The following is a 20,889-nucleotide window of genomic DNA, read 5'->3' as shown; positions in this document are numbered from 1 at the left end:
GGAAGAGAGGGAAAAAAGAGGGAGGAAGGAGGGAGGGAGGGAGGGAAGGAAGGGAGAGGGAGAGAGGGAAGGAGGGAGGGAGGGAGGGAAGGAAGGGAGAGGGAGAGAGGGAAGGAGGGAGAGAGGGAAGGAGGGAGAGAGGGAGGGAGGGAGGGAGGGAGGAAGGGAGGGAGGAAGTAAGGGAGAGAGAGAGGTAAAGCGATAGACAAGCTCTCTACCCAAGCTTCCTCACTTACAAAAACTGATAACATCTGTACTCCTTATCTCTTGAAATGATTGTGAAAATTAAACAAGATCACCCCAATGAAAGGTACAGTTACAATCACCTTTTATTCACACAACTGCTACTAACACCTCCTACGAGAGCACACTAAACACTGTATGGGATCTCACAAATCCTGCATGAGGCTGCTGACTGTGCACTTGGTTAGAGGTAATTCTTCTGATCAGGTGATCAATCTCCAACTAGGTGTCAGGGTTGCAGTGTGACTCCAGGGGAAGGGTGTGAGGATGGTGTGTGACAAGCAGCTGGGGGAATTCCCGGGGATTGTTGCCTTCCAAGCCTTTGCCCGGCCTCCTTTCCAGATTTTAAGATGTTTGATACCTTTGCTGTGGCAGAACAAAAGTCTAGAGGTAGCAGGAAGACACAAGAGATCCCTCGGGAGATCCCTGAGTGGGAAAGTGTGAAAAATACTCCTTGGGAATCTGTTCTGTTTTGATCTGTTATTAATTGATGCCCCCAAAAGAAGGCTGAGACACACAAGTTCCTGTGGACCCCCAGGATAATAAAACCATCCCCATTCTTGCTCCAAATTCTTTTAAAAGTATATTTTCCCACTGTGTTTTAATGAAGTCATTGATTTTCCACCGAACCAAGGTACTGAAATGCCACAAGACGGTATCTGATTCCCTACATAGGCACATAAGACTTGCCTCCAATGAATGAGAAGTCCCTGGGCTTCTGGCAGGCTGAATTTGCCTCTACACCTATCTTGGTGAGGGTTGGTCATCCACAAGGAACTTTCCCGTCTTTAACCGGGAATGTGGGTCCCACAAGAGCCTCCCAAATGAGCACCAAGGGTTCAGTGCAAAGAACGTGTGAGTGTGTTGCTTGTGCCAATTGGGCTTGTGTGGCTAATTGCACCGTGTGCAGAAAATAACACCTGCGAAGATCAGTCCATCCTCTGAACGCCAGAGTCTCAAAGTCAACGACAAAGCTCTCCGGGTGAAGCCCATCAGTAGAAACGCCCGTGGAAACATCAAACACGGCTTCAAGTGGAAGGTGACAGAGAGTGAAACTTTAAAGATGAATGAGAAGGCTATATTGAACGGAATTCTTTCAGGGTCTGAAGAGGATGGAGGCTGGGGTTGGGGGGCTGGGAGGAGGACAAATGACCCACCCCAAAGGTGAAGGACCCTTGCCAGAGAGGTGATTAACAACCCATCGCAGGGAGACTTAACGGAGCTGCTCCCAGTTGCATGGAAGATTCCAACAATGCTAGGCTTTTCCTTAGGACTTATTTTCTCACCAATGTTAAGTAAACTTGGAGAAGCCGAGTGCTTCGGATGTAATTACATGGAGTATGTCTTGGTGGCCAGCAGAAAAATAAACCGTGGCTTTGGCTGGTTGGAGGCAGTTTCCTTTTAAGCAGTCGGCCTGCCCAAGTTCAAGAAGATTAGTAAACAGAGATGGAGAGGCCTTGTTTATAGTGAGAATGAAGCAGGTCACACAGTTCCTTTAAAAGGTATTTGTGAAGCTGCTTTTTTCCCCTTTAACCAGTCAACTGCCTAAGGAACAAGCTTGATATTCTGCCAGCTTTTTAAGAAAATACTTAAATATCAAAAGTTTTCACTCTTTCTGTGTGTGCAAAATATCAGCTTCATGTCCAATGGGAATCAAAGTTCTTGCTTAGCATACAAAGGCTTATGAGTTTTATAGTGTTCAGGACTTTAATCTACAAAGTATAATTTAATCCTCTTTGAGCTATCTGCACCATGGAGCTCTGGTTGTAAATAAACCATATGGTTACAGTGGATGCAGCCACAGCTGCCTGCCTCCATCACTCACCCTTAGTAAATATTTCTGCAAAACAGATGAAATTAACTACTGTAACAGACAAATAGAGAGTGTAGTTCTCAGCGCAAATGTGTTACCATAGCAGTCATGCTTAAACACAGCTGATAGCTCCAAGTCAAGCCTCAGCCACCTGCCAATACCAATGACTTTCTCTCTCACTGAGCCTCCCTGCTCCTGGTTGCTGCTATCTACCTCTGAGAAGGGTGAGGACGGTGCAGAGACACCCACTGGGCAAGGAGGTTATGGGTGAGGAACAGGCTGAGTCCCTGATGCCCCAGATGGAACAGATGCTGATATCACAAAGTGTGTTTCCACGACTGGGTATCCCAACAAAGCTGGACACCATTGTGGGCTGCAGGAATACCTGTTACGGGGCATCCAGGCCTGGAGAGCAGACAGCAATGGAGCTAAGAAAAGGTAGCAATTCCCTCCGGGCTGAGGATACTCCCAGTAAAAGGAATGGTTGTGATTGTGGGCCCTGCTGTGTCAGGAAGTAGAATCAGATGGAAGAAGTTTGTTTGGGATGACATGAATTGGGGACTTAACTGTGTAAACATAGACTTTGCAGTCATTTGAAGGAGCAAATATTTATTTGTGTGTCTTCTATATGGCTCTGGCATCACAGAGACCTAGATTTGAATCTGGGTTCAGGCACCTAGCAGTTCCAGGATCCTTGCTGGTTATTTTATGGCTCTGAGCTTCAATTTCCTCCCCTTGTAACACAGGAATGACCATACCTCCTTATAGTGAACATGAAGATTAATTGGAATCATCATTATCATTCTTAAGTGAAATAATAAGGATAATTACAACAGTGGTAAATAGTTAACTTCATGGTTTAGGGAGGAGAGAAGTCTCCTCTTCCTTGGCCTCTTTAGGTCACAGGTCTCTTTGGCTAGGTCTGTGGTCCCCATTCTCAGTGTCCAAAGAGCATGACAGACTGGGCACAGTGGCTCACGCCTGTAATCCCAGCACTTTGGGAGGCCGAGGTGGGCAGATCAGTTGAGGTTAGGAGTTTGAGACCAGCTTGGCCAACATGATGAAACCCCATCTCTACAAAAAATACAAAAATTAGCCAGGCATAGTGGCATACACCTGTAGTCCCAGCTACTCCAGTGGCTGAGGCATAAGAATCGCTTGAACCGGGGAGGTGGAGGTTGCAGTGAGCCGAGATCGCACCTCTGCACTCCAGCCTGGATGACAAAGCAAAACTTTGTATAAGTAAATAAAGTGCATGACAACTTGGGGTGACCCATTCCATAGCTGTTTTGGCCAATCTGTGATTCTTCTTCACCTTGGGTATCACAGGGCTGGGCTGAGTGGGGAGATGCTGCCTGCCCAGACAAAGGGGGCCCTGTGCATCCATGGTGGCGAGAGGACAGACGGTGGGAGAGCCCAGAGTGTTCCAGGTGCGTGAGGCTTTCAAAGACAAGCTTTCAGTGGTCTGGGAGGGACAGATGTTTCCCAAATGCTGGAAAAGTTCCAAAAGGCAGGCAGAGGATGTATCCATTGGATCATCACACTTTGTCTGGGCATCTGAATGTGATATTGAGTTGGGGACGATTTGACTGGGGGTCTCTCAACACTCACAGCCAGGAGAGGGGCTGATCAAAAGGTGCAGGGTCGCTGAGCCTTGGGGGAAATAACCCAAGGATGAGAAGGGTCTCAGAGGGACAGCTCCCTCATTCTGGCCTGGGAGCCCTCCCCAAGGAATAATACATAGCCCAGAAGGTAGAGAATCCCAGCGTCTTTATGGCTTAGTTTCACAACCCAGAACCAACATGTTCTAAATTCTGGCCACAGCTGAGTCAGGGACCCATCTGTGCCCTAGGGAAGCAGGGCCCTGGGCTGGTGTCACCGAGCACCACCAAGCACCACAGGTGAGAAGAGGACTTCTCACTCACAGATCAACGTCATATTGAAAATAGCTGGGTCTCAGCCATCCCATTACTGGGTGTATATACCCAAAGGAATATAAGTCATTCTGTTACAGAGATACATGCAACTGTATGTTCATTGCAGCACTACTCACAATATCCAAGACATGGAATCAACCCAAATGCCCATCAGTGATAAAGCGGATAAAGAAAATGTGGTACATATACACCATGGAATATGATGCAGCCATAAAAAGGAACGAGATCATGTCCTCGCAGGGACATGGATGGAGCTGGAAGCCATTATCCTCAGCAAACTAACGCAGGAACAGAAAAAGAAACACTGCATGTTCTAACTTATAAGTAGGAGCTGAAGAGTGAGAACACATGTACGCAGGGAGGGGAACAACACATACTGGGGCCTGTCGGGGGGTGGGGTGGGGGGAGGGAGAGCATCAGGAAAAATAACTGATGCATGCTGGGCTTAATACCTAGGTGATGGGTTGGTAGGTGCCCCAAACCACCATGACACACGTTTACCTATGTAACAAACCTGCACATCCTGCACATGTTCCCTGGAACTTAAAAACTCAAATTAATTTTAAAAAGAAATAACAAAATAAGACTTTTTATTGTCTGAAAATAAAAGAAAATAGCTGTGTCTAATTGGATAATATTTCCGTATAAAAAGATTTAAATCCAGGGCTATGAAAAAAAATGCTTTTAACTAGGAAAAGATTTTGCTCCAAACCATTCACATTCAACCCCTTTAAGCTGAGTAAGGCTGAGAAGTTCCATGAACAGGACAAGGGATACAGGGCAAGTTGGTGCAGCTTGAAAAACAAAGGCCCAAGGGACCCAGGTTCTCTCTGCAGCTCCCCAGATTCACAAGCAGGTGTCAAAACTGAGATGTAGCAGTTGCCCACTCTCAAAGATCTGTGAGCAATGCTTTCTTGACTTTTCATTTTTATTGTCAAAGTTACAAAAAGCAGCTAGTAGAAAAATTACTGACATACTCTTCATCGAGCTTCCCCAGCAGTTTACATTTTGTCCCATTCCCTTACCATTCATGCCTTTTCTCCTCTTCCCCATGTCCCTGTCTCCCTGTCAGTCTGTCTGTCTCTCTCTCTCTCTCTGTCTCTCTCTGTAGATATATAATTTTTCTCAGTCATTTGAGAATAAATTGCTGGCTTTGTGCTTCCTTATCCCTAAACATGTTGGTGTATGTTTCCTAAGAACAAGAACATTGTTTTACCTAATCACAGTACAATTATCTAAATCAGAAAATTGAACATTTATACAATACCATCAATGAATCCACAGTCCAAATTCAAATTTTTTCCATCCTTCCAAGAATGTGCTTTATCCGGAAACACATATTGCCTTTCGTTGTCACATCTCTCTAGTTTCTTTCAAACCAGAACAATTCCTCATTCTTTATCTTCACCCATTCTTTTGCTTTCTTTAACCTTGACATTTTTGAAGAGTACAGACCATTTATTTTGTAGAAGGTTACTCAATTTGGGTTTGTCTGATGTTTCCTTATGATTAGATCTAGGTGATGAATTTTTGGCAGAAACACCCCAGAAGTGATGCTGTGTCTTCCTCAGTGAGGAAGTCAGAGGATATGATTTTGGGTCAGTGCCATTATTTGTGATGTTATCTTTAATGACTTGGCTGAGGTGCTATGTGCCAGGTTTCTCCATTATAAGGTTGCTATTTTTCCATTTGCAACTAATAAGAAATTGTGGAGAGATATTTTGAAGTGACATAAATATCCTGATCTTCATCAAACATTCACCTACTAGTTTTAGCATCCATGGGCACTTCTTATTTGAACCAGTTATTACTGTGATGTTTGCCCAGTGATTTTCTAATTCCATCATTTCACATTTATGAGTCAAATTCTACTGCAAGAAAGAACTTTCCCTTCTCTCCATTAATGATATATTTATGCATCCATTTATATTAGTAGGAATTCATGGATTCTGATGGATTATTCAAGGGATTGTAATCCATTACCATCATGATTTATTTTGATACCCAAATTGTCCCAGAGTTGGACAACAGGAGCCCTTTCTGTTCTTTTCACATGTCTTGTTGTTGTTGCTTTAGAGATGGGATCTCACTCTGTTGCCCAGGCTGGAGTGCAGTGGCATTATCATGGCTCACGTTAACTCCTGGGCTCAAGCATTCTTCCCACTTCAGCTTCCTGAGTAGCCAAGATTACAGATAGGCACCATCATGCCCAGCTAACTTCTTAAATGTTTTAGAGAGATGGGGTCTTGCCATGTTGCCCAGACTGGTCTCAAACTCCTGGGATCAAGCATTCCTCCCACCTCGGCCTCCCAAAGAGCTGAGATTACAGGTGTGAGCCACCGCATGTGGCCTCCTCTTCATGCTTTGAGCACTTTCTTGTTTTATGGAGCAAGATGTTCAGGATCAGCTATAACTTACCTGAGCTGGAATTCAGCCATCTCTCCAAAGAGTCCTGGATTCTTTTGGTGAAGAAGAGAATTTGAAAGATCTGAGCATCAGGGCTACTGGGATATCATTAATTCAAGACTCTTTTAATGGACAGAATGTATATATGCATACATACACACACACATATATATGAAACATACTGATACTTTCCATTTCAGTCCTACAACATTTTAGCTTTCCCCTTCCTGTATATTTAGGGGAAAAAAAAGAAAAAGAAAAAAACATGTCTTCACTAAAAGAAACTAGATACCTAGCTCTCATGTTTCTCAATATATTCATTCATTTGTTCAATCCTGAGATACATAGGAAGTTGTTTTGGAATTGTTCATGCATAGCACTGTGAAAAACATACCTGCTAACTAGACTTCAATATTTTGTTTAGTATTTAGACTGAGGGTACCTGGTCAGAACTCTCTGTTGGAAGGTCACTTGGGCCAGTTCCCCAGCCCCCACACAGTGTCACTGTGTTGCTCATTTGAAATACTTTTTGGTTCATTTGTTTCTATTAGGGGTGTTCTCCCCATCCCTGTGGATTTTTTGCATATATAAAACATTAGCATGATCATAAAAGTCAAAATTAAGTAAAAAGGCAAATTCAGAGAAGTGCCACTTTCCTTCCTAGCCCTCCCACCTGTACCTACCCACCTCTTGCAGGAAACCAATCTCTTCCATTTCTGATTTTCTTCCCAATGTTTCCTTTTGTTAAAATAGGTAGATACTTGTATAGTTTATTTCCTCTTCTTTCTTATAAAAAATAGAGAATACTAGAAATGATCTTTTGCACCCGTTTTCTTCCCTCAACACATCCTGGAAATCATTCCTCATCGACTCCTGGAGCTCTTCCTCATTCTTCTCCAGCCGAATAGTACCGCACTGTCTGATTGCACCATCGTTTATCCAACCAGTCTTCTATTCGTGGCCATTGAGATTGTTTCCAATATCTCCATTGTGAACCATGCTTCAGTATGTAGCCATGTGAATATGTATTATATTGTTGGACAGGTGTCTTCAGGATAAATTACCTAGGTGAATTCCTAAACGTGACATTCCTGGGTCACTAGGTGTACAAATACGTAGTTTTGTTAGCTTTTGCAAAGACCCCATCCTTAACTATTGTACCGATTTGCATTCCCTCTAACAAGTTATGAAAAGGCCTGTTTCCCCCTAGCCTCACCAGCAGAATGTATCAAGCTTTCTAATATTTATGAGTCTAATAGGTGAGAAATAATATTTCAAGGTAGTTTTTCAAAAACCACTTTATGTAGATATAATTCATGTACCATACAATTCACCCATTTTACAGTGCACAATTGAGTGAATTATAGTATATTCACATATATCTGCAACCATCACCACAGCCGATTTTAGAAACCTAGTACTATTTACCTCTCACTCTCCTAATGTCCCATAACCCCCAGCCCGAGGCAACCATAAATCCATTTTCTGTCTATAGATTTGGCTATTTAAGACACTTTGTATAAATGGACTTATACAATATGTAGCCTTTTGTGACTTGCTTCTTTACTTGAGCATTATATTTTTAAGCCTTATCTAGATTATGGTATATATCAGTACTCCATTCCTTTTTATGACCCAATAGTATTCCATTGTGTATATATACCATCTCTTGTTTATCCATTTATCTGTGGAATTTATCCATTTATCTGTTATCTATTTAAGTTGTTTCCACCATTAGTCTATTACGAATAATGCAATTCCAAGCATTCATATATGTTGTGTGTGGACAGATGTTTTCATTTCTCCTGGGTGTGTACATCTAGGAGTAGAATTTCTGGGTCATATGGCAACTCTGTGAGTAATCGTTTGAGGAACCATCAAACTGTTTTAATGTAGTTTCACTGGCATTTCACTTATTATGTATGAAGTTGAACATTTTTTTCTTATGTTTAAAGGCTACTTATGTATCTTTTTTGGAATCATCTGTTCACATCCTTCATCCATTTTTTATTGGCCTTTTCCTCTCTATTGTTATTATTATTATTTTGAGATGGAGTCTTGCTCTGTCACGCAGGCTGGAGTACAGTGTTGCGACCTCAGCTCACTGCAACCTCTGCCTCCCAGGCTCAAACAATTCTCCTGCCTCAGCCTCCTCAGTAGCTGGGATTACAGGTGCCTGCCATCACACCCGGCTAATTTTTGTATTTTTAGTAGAGACTGGGTTTTACCATGTTGGCCAGGCTAGTCTTGAACTCCTGACCTCATGATCCACCCACCTCGGCCTCCCAAAGTGCTGGGATTACAAGTGTGAGCCACCGCATCCGGCTCCCTCAATTTTTAAGAAGACTTTGTATATTTCAGAAATTAGCCTTTGGCCGGTGATACAAATTGCAAACAGTTTTCTCCTGTTTGTCACGCATCTTTTGATTTTGCTTATGATGTTTTTTTCATGCAATTTTTTAAATGTTATATAATCAAATTTATCAATCTTCTATTGACTGTGGATATTGACTCAAGTTAGAAGTCATTTCTTCACACCCAAGAATTCACCCATGTTTTTTTCCAGTACTTGTAGGGTTCATTTATTCATGTAGCTCTTTGATCCACTTTGGAAGACAGTCTTTTTTGTGGTTGGAGGGATAGAACTAACTTTACTAACTATATCAAAAAACTGTCTAGCCAGTCGTCCTAGCACCACCAAGTAAAAAGATCAGCCAGGCACGGTGGCTCACGCCTATAATCCCAGCACTTTAGGAGGCCGAAGTGAGAGTGTTACTTGTGCCCAGGAGTTCAAGGCCAGCCTAGGCAACATGGTGAGACTTCGTCTCTACAAAATCAAAAAACACACACACAAAAAAACCAAAGTAGCTGGACGTGATGGCATGCACCTATAATCCCAGCTACTCAGGAGGCTGAGGTGGGAGGATTGCTTGAGCCCAGCAAGGCTGCGGTGAGCCATGATCATCGTGCCACTGCACTCCAGCCTGGGTGACAGAGCAAGACCTGTTTCTGAATAAGTAAATAAATAAATAAGATCATCTGCACCCCAGTGACTGCCAGTGCCACCTTTATTATGTCCTAAATTTTCATATACACTTGGCTGTATTCCCAGACTGTCTGCTCTATTCCAGTGGTCTGTTTATTCAGGCACCAACACCATGCTGCTTTAACTCTTATGAGCAAGTTCAATAACCTCCTCTGAGCACCTCTTCCTCTGCTAAGACCCTAGTTCTCCGGAAGTTCTTCCTTGTTTCTGAGCATCAGTCTTCCCTACTGCAACGTAAGCCTGTTACCTCCGTGAGTCTCCCTGATCCCAGAGTTCTACTTGCTCACCTCCCTCTGAGCTGTCAGGTGCTAGGAGCTCTCTCTTTTTATGCAAATGTGGCTGCTGCTTTCTGGCCCAAAGGTGACTCTCTCATTGACAGCCCTGACTGCCAACTTTACAAGTAATTTGCTGGGTTTGTCGAGCACTGCTGAATCATATAAATGCCATTATCGTTTTTGTCATCATCGTCAGCAGCTGAAGCATCAGCTGCTACCTTTCTTTCACCTATTGTTTAGACCAAATGAAGGAGCCGCTGATGCCCCAAAGAAATGCTTTATTTGTGGAATATCCAAAGTCCTAAGCCCTTGTATGTCAGTTCATGTCTGGAAATGACCAGGAGAACATCCTGCCAGGATAAATATTACCATAGGCCTCCTACTCTTCATGGTTGATTAGTTGGCTTATCTCAATGGTTGAATAAGCAACCCGCTCCCAGCCCAGTGAATTTTCTCTCCTACTATTGGTGAGGTGGCAAAACGTCTAATAGAAAAATATATTAGTACTTTAAAATTGTTGTGGAACAAAAAGACGAAATAGACTTTATACACCTATTTCTCCCACTGTTAGATGATAGAATATAAGGTTACATGCTTGGAACAATTAACCACTATTTGAGTTCATTTAACAAATACCTGTTGAGCAGCTCCTCTGTGTAGAGCTTCGTAATAGAACCTGTGAGGGACTCAAAGATGAATAAGACAAGATGGTGTCTTCAAGGAGTTCACTCACAACTGGAGGAGATAATGAGAGAAGAGAGATAGGCACAAACAACTTCATTACAAGGCAGAGGAGAGCAGGTGAAGAAGAAAAAGTTGCACAGTGCTTTGGGAGGGCAGGAGAAAAGCTCTACATTCAGAGCCTCTTTGGAAGAGATGAGACTTAAAATCAGATTCTGAAGCCCAAGTTGGATGGCCTGAAGTGTATTGGTCCATTCTCACATTGCTATAAAGAAATACCTGAGACTGGGTAGTTTAAAAGAAAAGAAGTTTAATTGGCTCACAGTTCTGCAGGCTGTACATGAAGCATAGCACTGGGATCTGCTTCTGAGGAGGCTTCTGGAAGTTTACAATGATGGTGGAAGGCCAAGGGAAACAGACACATCACGTGGCGAAGGCAGGAGGAAGAGAGCAAGGGGGTAGGTGCCACACATTTTTTAAACGATCAGATCTTGCAAGAACTCATCCACTATGGCGAGGACAGCACCAAGCGGATGGTGCTAAACCATTCATGAGAAATCCGCCCCATGAGTCACTCATCTCCACCAGGCCCCTCCTATAACACTGGGGATTACATTTCAGCATGAGATTTGAGCAGGGACACACATCCAAACTATATCACCCAGAAAGATAATCTGGCATTTAAAATGGCTTAAGCAAAATCAGAGAGGCAGAAACATATATTGGCAGGGGTGGGGGTGCATGTGAAATTGCTGTTTTGTAGGTCAGAGCAGTCATATATTGGCAAGTTTGCATGATTCCATCGAATCGATCATATTTCGGGATACTGTAGTCTGTTTGTAGACCTGATAGAACTGATAGACTAATTTGAAGGGGTTAAGAGGCCCCATATAGGAGATGTGGCTGAACCAAGCTGCAGAGGATTTTGACTGTTAAAATGAAAAAAAAAGTTGACCTTTATTTAGTGTGATTCATTTAATTACTTACATATCAAATATTTGCCAAGGCCCTACGATGTGCCCAGCCTCCCGGTTGGGGAAGCTCTGAGAACACAGTCATGTTTCAAAGGGATAAAACTGTCAGTAGTGTGTGTGGTGGGCTGGAGACAGGGGAGACAGTGGGTGACAAGACTCCTTAGGGGCTGCCTAGCATGGTGTGGTGGGGATTGCTAGGCAGGGCTGAGGGTCCACGTGACACTTGTGGTCATACATTTAAAGTGAGGTCAGGCAGCCTGGCTGTGCGGTTTTCTTCAGCACGTTCTGATGCTCATCTGCAGATTAGGAAACAAATTAGTTTATCAGACGTAGGGTTTTGATGAGCAAGATCAGTTAGGGTTTTGATTGAGCAACTTAGGGTTTTGATGATCAAGGAGGCTGAGAGTATGCACGAGTTTTAGTTTTAGTTATGAACCCTGGAATCTAAACTGTGTAAGAACGGAAGCAAAACATGAGGCAGAGGATGGGCATAAAAAGGGGATGAGGACCCCCCCCCCCGCCAAGGGAAGATGAAGACTTATTGAAATTGGAAAACTAGAAAGAGTAAGCTGGGAAGATAGAAAGTTTAAAAAGAGAGGGATGCTTCTAAAAGAGCATTTTAGAAGTGATGACGTTGCTGGTGATGACAAGGTCCAGGGTGTGACCAGTACAGTGGGGACCTAGAAAGGGTAGGAAAAAGGGTCATGAGAAGTGAGCAAGTCAAGCAGCAGAGAGGCCAGCACATTTGATGGATTGTCTATGGATACTGAAGTCATCAAGAGTAATGGCAAGCAGGGATGGAGACAAAGACGGTGAGTCAGGCATTAAAAGATTCCATGAGTCAGCAGATGTGCTATGCAAGGTGATCAATGGCTGCGATGAGGAGGAGGATTCAGTGCACAGTGTGATGGGATGTGCCTCAAAGGAGGCTTTGGAGAACAGTAGCCTGGAAGCAGTAACGGGAGGTGATGAAGACATCCACCCACTTCCTGGCACTATGGTATTTGGGATGTGGAAGTAACAAAGCTCACCACTGAAGGGGCCTCAGAGAAAGCAGTGGCCTCCAGAGAATACTGGGGCAAAACAGTCGCCAGAACGTGTAGAGGGGAGGTTCAGGGAGAGGGAGTTTTGGTGATGACAGAACAGGAGTCCCACAGGACGTAGGATAAGGATTTGGGAGGTTAGGAATGGATGGAAGGTTGGGTCAGATTAGGAGCACACAGCCATGAAGGATAAGCATCTGGGAACATATGGATGATTGAAAGCCTGGGACTAACAGGTAAATGGAAATAAATGGGGATTTTGAAATATGATGATATTGAGTCTAATGGTCTTTTAGGGGAAAGTTGTAAATTATGCCTCACTTTTGGGAGGTCCCTTTGGCAGGTAGTGGTGGTAAGAAGTGGTGGTCAGACCAGGAGTCCAGGGAACCTTGTAGGTCTGCCTTAAATCTTTCTGAGGGTGATATTAAGGCTCGACAGGGTGCTCTTATAGGTAAATGGTAGAGGTTTGGGGAAGCGAGGGACGGGATCATGAGAAGGAAATTTGAAATTGTGATTGTTTTAAACTTGGCTAAGGGTTGATGACCCTTGAGAGTACAGGGGATGCGGTTGCAAAGACGGCAGAGAACAGATTCTGCTTTAGTGGATGAAAGGTTTGAACCCAGAATTGTTAAGAGGCTTCAATGATTGTACCCTAAAGACACATGTGCACGTATATTCATCGCGGAACTATTCACATAGCAAAGACATGGAATCAACCTAGAGGCCCATCAGTGGTAGACTAGATAAAGAAAATATGGCACGTATACACCATGAACTACTACACAGTCATAAAAATGAACAAGATCATGTCTTTTGCAGCAACATGGATGGAGCTAGAGGCCATTATCCTAAGCAAACTAATGCAGGAACAGAAAATCAAACACCACATGTTTTCACTTGTAAATGGGAGCCAAACATTGAATACACAATGACACAAAGAAGGGAACAATAGACACAGGGGCCTCCCTGAGGGTGGGGGGTGGGAGGAGGGTAAGGACCAAAAAACTATCAGGTGCTATGCTTATTGTCCGGGTGATGGATTACCCTGTACACCAAACCCCCGTGACACAGCATTTACCCATATAACAGACCTGCACATGTACCCCTGAAACTAAAATAAAAGTTAAAAATATAAGAAGATTCAATGAGATAATTAACACCCAGTGCCTTTGCACAGTCCCTGGTGCTTCGCAGGTTAATAATAGGGTTAGTTCCCTCCCTCTCCACCACCTTCCACTGCCTGCACCTGCCGCCCCAGATACACACAGGTGGACACCCCAGAACGAATGGGAGCCTGGGTGTGGAGCAGTAAAGATCCATCTCCAGCTGTTAACACAACTTAGAACACGTGCACTGCTGCGAATGGCTAGAGGCAGAACTGGGCATTGAACTAGAAGAAAAAGAATCTGTGATGTGCTGTTTGTAGAAATGTGGCCTAGACATTTCAAGACACGGTGAGGGCATGAAGGCAGTGAGAGTCAAAAACTCATTAACTGCCCAAACTGCTGAGGACAAATAGAATAATAAACTTCTAGGCAAGAATGAAATGCAGTTTTGCTTCCAGGAGACCATTTCTGCTCTCAGAGCTGAAGGCAGTGGGACTCTGTGCCTTCCCCCACTGTCAACTTCCAGCCCCTTTCAATTCAAATCACAAAAGCTCATGATGTTGAATCTAGTTATTGGGAGAATCAAATGGCAGGACCTTGGGGACATTCAGGGACGTTATTATTACGTACATGAAATTTAGCCCAAACAAAGGTGACTGATACCCTGATCATGAATCTTCATTGGCAACGAACAGTAGAAATAGCTGTCAGAGTTGTATCTGAGTTTGTTTTGATGGCTTTAACTATAAAGCCGTGGATGGTTACATCAGTGCCTTAAATATATCAAAGGAGAAAAATATTCTGCAGCGGAAACTTTACTCCTGGAAATACTGGATATATTCAGCAAAGTTACACGGGGTAAAAGATAAGTCCTTTACTCAGTTGTTGGGTTCTTTAAAATCACTTTTTATCTTTTAGGTTCTAATTCACTCCAGTGTTTGTTTAATTCAGAATTGTAAAATTTCTGGAAAAATCGAAGTCATAGGGAAAATAAACCTGTCTTCATTTGTTTGATTTCTTTGTTTTCTGAGGAAAAACCCAGGGCCTAGCACGTAACACTTGGTAAATATTATTATAGCTATCACTTCAACAGTTTGGCACCCTTTTCGTACTAAAATGTATCTTCTTAGCCTAGGAGAATGAAACTCTTTATGTATGTCTTGGTTTTTCTGAAAAAGACTCACATTTTGGATGTTGAAAACTGTGTTTGGTCACCTAATAATTGGTTCTACATTTGCTAATTGAATTTACCTTTAAATGTTTTAAATTTGGCCATGAATAGAGCTGCTGAATTCAGTTTAGTTTTGAGGACATTTTTCCCCCTTTGTGCAAAGCAGGCAAACTCAAGAACAAAACAAGCCATCAACATTAGGGTGGAACAAAGAAAGTTCTTACGTCAAGCAGATTCAGAAAGCATTCATTTTGCAAAAAAAAAAAAAAAAAAAAAAAAAAGAATGAGAAAGAAAAGGAGGAAAAGAGATCTCCTTATCCAATTTAATGGAAGATCACAGGACTGAGAGGAGGAGGGGACAGGTTCAAATTTGGGGACTCTGAAACGCTTCCACTTGCCCCGAGCGTCTGTCTTGGAGCCTCTTGAGCTTCCGTTCTTCGTTTCTAATCTCTCCAGGCACAAAGAAGAGTGACTGCGAGTGGCCACTCGGCTGACGGTCCTTTGGGGAGCGGGCAGAACAATGGCCCCTCTGCCAACCTCGGGGGCTGCAGCGGACAGGAAGTTGACAGCAGGGGAAGGCACAGAGCCCCACTTCCTTCAGCTCCAAGAGCTGAAGTGGTCTCCTGGAGGCAAAAGTGCATTTCATTCTTGCCTAGAAGTTTATTATTCTATTTGTCCTCAGCATTTAGGGCAGTTAATGAGTTTTCAGCTCTCACTGCCTTCATGCCCTTGACATCCCCTTCCTCCTTAACCCCCTGCAGTCTGTCCTCTTGCCTACCTCCGTGAAAATGGCCCTCCCACGGATCAGCAAATTCAACAGCCTCTTCTCCCTGCTCAGCCCGTGTGGCTTATTCTCAGCAGAGAGGCAGCGATGAAGCTGGTGACCCTCCGTGGCCCCCTCTGCTTTCCTAGAACGCTGTCCTCCTCTGGCCGTGGCGACTCCATTCTCCTGGCCCTGCTGCCTTTGGGGCAGACCTTCCTGTCCCCTTTCTCCTTCCTCTTTCAGCACATAAGCCATGTCCTTGACCCCATCCTCTTCTCTGTCTGATTGCATCCTGGACATTCTCCCTCCTTCGTGAGTGGGTGCATCACCCATTCTCAAACCAGCATCCCAGACTAGACTTACCTGAGACTGCACCAGCTCAACACTTCCACCTGCATTGGCAGCAGGATGTTCAGCGTGCCGGATACAAGGTGGAAGTCAGCTGTGGTCCTTAACCTGCTCCTCTTGTGTACCTTCTGTCTTGTGAAGGGACCACCTTTTTTTTTTTTTTTTTTTTTTTTTTGGTCTCTTGGGGTGAAAACTTCCTTTGACCTCATCCCACATCTGATTTGTTGCCAAATCTCAGTGTTTCTGTTTGAAGCAGATCTCACATCTGCCTTCTCCTTTTCCAGTTCTTTTGCTGGTTATGCCTAGTATAGAGCCCTTGTTACCCCTAGAAAATCCAAATGCTTTCTGACTACCCCACACATCCACCCTCGTTATTGTCCCTTGTCAACTCATCCTATACCCCACCATCAACTGAATAGCTCTTCAACAAGATTATAATCAAGACACCACTAGCCTGGGCTGGCTGACTGGCTTGCTTGCCTGCTTGCTTGCTTTCTTGCTTTCTTTCTGTCTGTTTATCTATGTGTCTATGTATCTGTGTATCTACCTATTTATGTGTCTATCTATGTATCTTTCTGTGTGTCTATGTATGTATGTATCTTTCTGTCTATTATGTGTCTATGTATCTATCCATCTATGTGTCTATGTATCTTGTGTCTATATATCTATGTATTTATGTGTCTGTCTACTACGTGTCTATCTATGTAACTGTATTTTTCTATCTGTGTCTGGGTATCTATATATTTATCTTTCTATTTATGTATCTGTGTGTCTATGTGTCTATCCATCTATGTGTCTATCTATGTAACTATCCATGTGTCTATGTATCCATGTATGTGTCTATCTACTATGTATCTATGTAACTATTTATGTATTTACATGTCTATGTATCTATCTATCTAAAATCTTTGTCTCCTAAAACTGTGTAGTAAGTAAATGTAAGGGGGAAGACAGAGAGATGGAAGGAGCAAGGGAAGGAATAAGGAGGGAGGGAAGCCATAAAGGAAGGAAAGAGGAAAGAAATGAAGGAAAAAAGAAAGGAAAGAGGGAAGTACAAGAGAGCAACCATAGATTTCTAGGTTTGTTGCTAATTTGGCCTCTAGAAAATCACTAGTCTTCACTATGTCTCAGTTTCTCTCTTGGAAACTGTACAAACTCTTGCCACCACTCTTGTTGCATGGAGTACGTTCATTGACTACCTTGAGGGCTCTGTGAGCTCTTCATGGAAAGAGATCACTACGTATTTATTCATGCCATTGCCTCATCACTTTTGTTCGTGGTTTGAATTAGTCCCAGGTCCACATAAGTTTTTGCTGGTCCAGTGGTCTTCCCATATCCGATACAGTTAATATTCTTACATGCCAGCAAAGGATTTAGTTTCTTCTCCTGACTAGATGAAAATCTTGAGAGGACTTTATTTGCTAAAGGAAATTAAAAGAGGCAAAAAGAAAGTAAGTTTTCCTCTGGGTGGTAGTTCAGCCAGAGACCTGTGCTGCTGGGAAGATGTATAACCCTCTGTAACTCCAGGTGCTCAGAAACATGTGCAGCTAGTGGACATGGCCAAGTTGGGCATCCTGACATCCTTGCAGGAGGAAAGGGCAGCTCAGGCCCCTACACTGTCATGTAAATGATTTAATCACTCACAAACACAGGTTAGGTTCTTTTCTTTTTCTCTCTAGTAGATATAGAGCTTCGTTATATAAATTTTTTTCTCCCAGTGTGTAATCTCTGTTTCTCAATGACTTCCTACTTGTTTAATAGCTCCAGTTTTCCCCAAATTTCGTTTTTATCATCATCTGGTTTTATTATGTAGTCAACTTTTTCAGGATACTGGAAATGTGTCCCAGCCAGCCCTTCCTTGAGAAGGAACCTTGAAAAAGAGAGAATCAATATTACTTTGTTGGATCAGGCTCTATAAAAGCCACGTTGTCTGAAGCCACTTAGCATAAGGCATGGAGTTGAACATGGGTAAGAGAATCTCAAGAGATCTTCTTTTTTTCTTCTGCCTTGTTTTTCTTTGGGTGTGTGGTATAGGACTTTTAACCACTGATTTCCCAACTCTTCCTGTGTGATGCTAGCTGTCCTCTTTTAGAACAAGGATACTACGGCAGATGAAAGCTTTACTCGTGGCACGTCTTTTTCTAACCCCCAGATATAAGTTATTGAAGAGAAATGTCATCTCTTAAAATCCAACCCCTCTATTGTTTTTAAATGTTGACATATTCTCTGCATAAGACTCAAGTTCCAGGTCCCTGGGAATGTAGCAGAACTGGCGTACAAATGTGTTATTTTAGTATACTATATCAACAGCTCATGATCTTCTACAGAAAGTACCAAGAATTCTAGGCATTCTCACCACTGCGAATGAGTTACTCCTCTTAACTGCATCTCATGGGTAAATCATGACACTTAGGAAAGCACAATTGTGGATGTACTCTCTGCACAGACCAGATAGCATGGTTTTGTTCTGTGGCAACAGAAGAACAAAGGACTCTAGGCATAAGACCAGGGATGTCTCAACTCAAAGCATGGCTCTTGTCACATTGAGGAATAGTTAACACATTCTTGCCAATCATCTCTTTGGACATTTTCTACTCTCAGGATGCCCTTTCTACAAATGCTGCTGATATGGTTTGGCTGTGCCCCTACCCAAATCTCATCTTGAATTGTAGTTCCCATAATTCCCACATGTCATGGGAGGGACGTCATGGGAGGTGATTAGATTATGGGGGCGGTTCCTCCATGCTGTTCTCATGATAGTGAGTTCTCACGAGATCTGATGGTTTTATACGGGGCTTTCCCCGCTTCACTCTGCACTTGTCTCTCCTGCCACCATGTGAAGAAGGGTGTGTTTGCTTCCCCTTCCACCATGATTGTAAGTTTTCTGAGGCCTCCCTAGCCATGTGGAACTGTGAGTCAATTAAACCTCTTTCCTTTATAAATTACCCAGTCTTGGGTATTTTTTCATAGCAGTGTGAGAATGGACTAACACAGCTGCCCACAGATTTTCCCCTGAGGATCACTAAGCTAGTCCATGACCAACAAGAACACTAGAAGCATAAGGATCATCAGAACAAGGCCATCATGGAGAGAAAGGAAGAAAGCCACCAATGAGTATAGGGTTGATGTTACTCTTCCTTTCAGAAAGGACAAAGCCAGACCACTGGGAAAATCATCATGTCTTAAGCCTATTATCTTAGTATCTGTCTTTTAATTACCTCCCTGCCTCCACCAAACCACAATCATAAATATTTGATAATGACCCATCCTCCCCTCAATCTCAGCATCAACATGCCCTTGCCTCTCCCTTGTTCAGTGATCACAGTAGCTGAACATATCCACATCCACCCATCAGCCTAGAAGCTTTTTCTTGCTCAAGCCCACTTCAAAGTTCAGCCAGGCCATCTGTGTCTTAAAGAAGGCCCTTAAATAAACAACCAATGCAGTTTCTGACTACAAAATCCTGACGTTTGCCCCTATTGCATTCCCCATGTGGCACTCAGTGCAAAAGACTGTCTTGCAGCACATGCATGAATTGTTGCCTTCACTTTGCATGATCCTCTAACACAATCTGAAACTACCCTAAACCACACGTGTAATCAATCCCCTTTTTAATATCCATATTAACCAGAACCTGACTGATACCATCCCAATAACTATATTCATTAACCTGCCCAGATTAATTATGAAATCCACTTTATTTGCCACTCCTACTTTCCTTTCTTCCTTTCCTTCCTGGTCATTAGCTACTACCTGGGCCACCTGGGCTATTTCCCTTGTCTAGCAGTAGGTGGCTCAAAACTCTCTCCTCTCTTCCCCCATCCTGCTCTAAGTGTGAGGCTCCTTCTGCTGTTGGAGCGCCTGCTCATACTGACTCTACTTGATCCCTGTCACATTCCTCTGGGCTTGTCAAAGGTCTGCATTGTGTCCCTGAGTAGCTGGGGCATGCCATGAAGAGTGAGCCCAGCCCAGCCCTAATCATGACAACCCAGCCCCTGTGAAAGATGAATAATAACAACTGCTCTAGCCAGTCCCAGAAGAGCCCACTGAGGACGTTTGTTTTGGAATAATGAATATGGAAATTTAGAATCTGTAATAAACTGCAAGCAGTCTTTCAACTCACTCGTGCCGAAAATTCACACTCGCCTTTCCCATAACTTGTCACTTGTGTTTTTTATTGTTCGATATGTAAACAAGGCCGGGAAGGCCTTTGTTCCTTGGTGCCTACTTAGATTTGCCCATTAATCCCAACTCCCCCCTTCTCCGCTTTCCCACCAATGCATGCAGGATTACACAAAGCAAAAGTCATTAATTTTTATCTCTGACTATCTGTAGGGTTTTTAATGTGGCCTGGCTTGCTTATGCACCACCAATTACATGTCATAAGTGCTTGTAGATGCTGGAGCAGTATCATGGGCTGATGAATCACTGCCTCCTCTCCTGATTAGTATGCAAGGGGCCGTGTTCCTCTTGGAGCAGCTGGCATGCCAATGAGGATCTGGCTCCGCCGGTCGAGGCATCTGGACATGAATTCAATATGGATTGCTTTAATTAAATGGCTAAGCGCACAAGACGCTAAGAAACAACTCCATCATTGAGTGAAACTCGAAAATATAGTCGACACAAGCAAGAGGGTGGAAAGGGTAGGAAGATATTTCCTCAACACCGCCCACTGCCTAAAATCCTTGAGATCCCTCCCCCGTGCTCCCCACCATGTGGAGCACCACCACTTGCCAAGAGCGTGATGAATTGTGGAATCCACAATGAAACACCAGAGGTGAATCTGGTTCGCCACCCTTACATTTAGAAATCAAAACAGCAGAGCAAAACCTACTCTTCTTCCCTTTGGAAAGGTTTTGTTTTAACTAGACACTTGCTTGCAAACTACCAATGAGGCTGATTTTGAGAAGGAAGGCAGCAAGGAAAGGAGGGTAAAAAGTCTGAACTGAATGTACCTGTGACCAACAGTCCTAGAGGAAAAGAATGAGTTCATGTAGCTTTGCAAATATAAGGAGGACAGAGAGGTCCTTCGATGTGCTAATTCGCTGAAGAGGAGAAAGGAAGAGCAGCATGGATTTGCACT

At 43.3% G+C, this 20,889-nt stretch overlaps 1 protein-coding gene across 1 annotated transcript in view, besides 2 other annotated features; it reads left to right on the top strand.

Annotated features, from left to right (window-relative positions):
* Positions 1 to 20,889, top strand: part of ZFHX3 (zinc finger homeobox 3) — a 1,109,046-nt gene that overhangs the window by 542,144 nt on the left and 546,013 nt on the right. The gene's annotated exons all lie outside the window — the stretch shown is intronic.
* Positions 15,504 to 15,670: a silencer, noted in NCBI's record as "fragment chr16:73368016-73368182 (GRCh37/hg19 assembly coordinates)". NCBI's record gives its function as "represses an EF-1alpha promoter that drives an FKBP-Casp9 reporter gene in an ReSE screen in HepG2 liver carcinoma cells {active_cell/tissue: HepG2}" and the evidence as "EXISTENCE:reporter gene assay evidence [ECO:0000049][PMID:32094911]".
* Positions 19,394 to 20,877: an enhancer, noted in NCBI's record as "VISTA enhancer hs1724". NCBI's record gives its function as "enhancer in: midbrain (mesencephalon)[5/7] | forebrain[5/7]" and the evidence as "EXISTENCE:transgenic organism evidence [ECO:0001131][PMID:17130149]".

This window comes from Homo sapiens, chromosome 16 (genome assembly GCF_000001405.40).
Source record: "Homo sapiens chromosome 16, GRCh38.p14 Primary Assembly".
Lineage (NCBI taxonomy): Eukaryota > Metazoa > Chordata > Mammalia > Primates > Hominidae > Homo > Homo sapiens.
The sequence above is the reverse complement of the archived record's forward strand: the minus strand, read 5'-3'. Positions and strand labels throughout refer to the sequence as shown.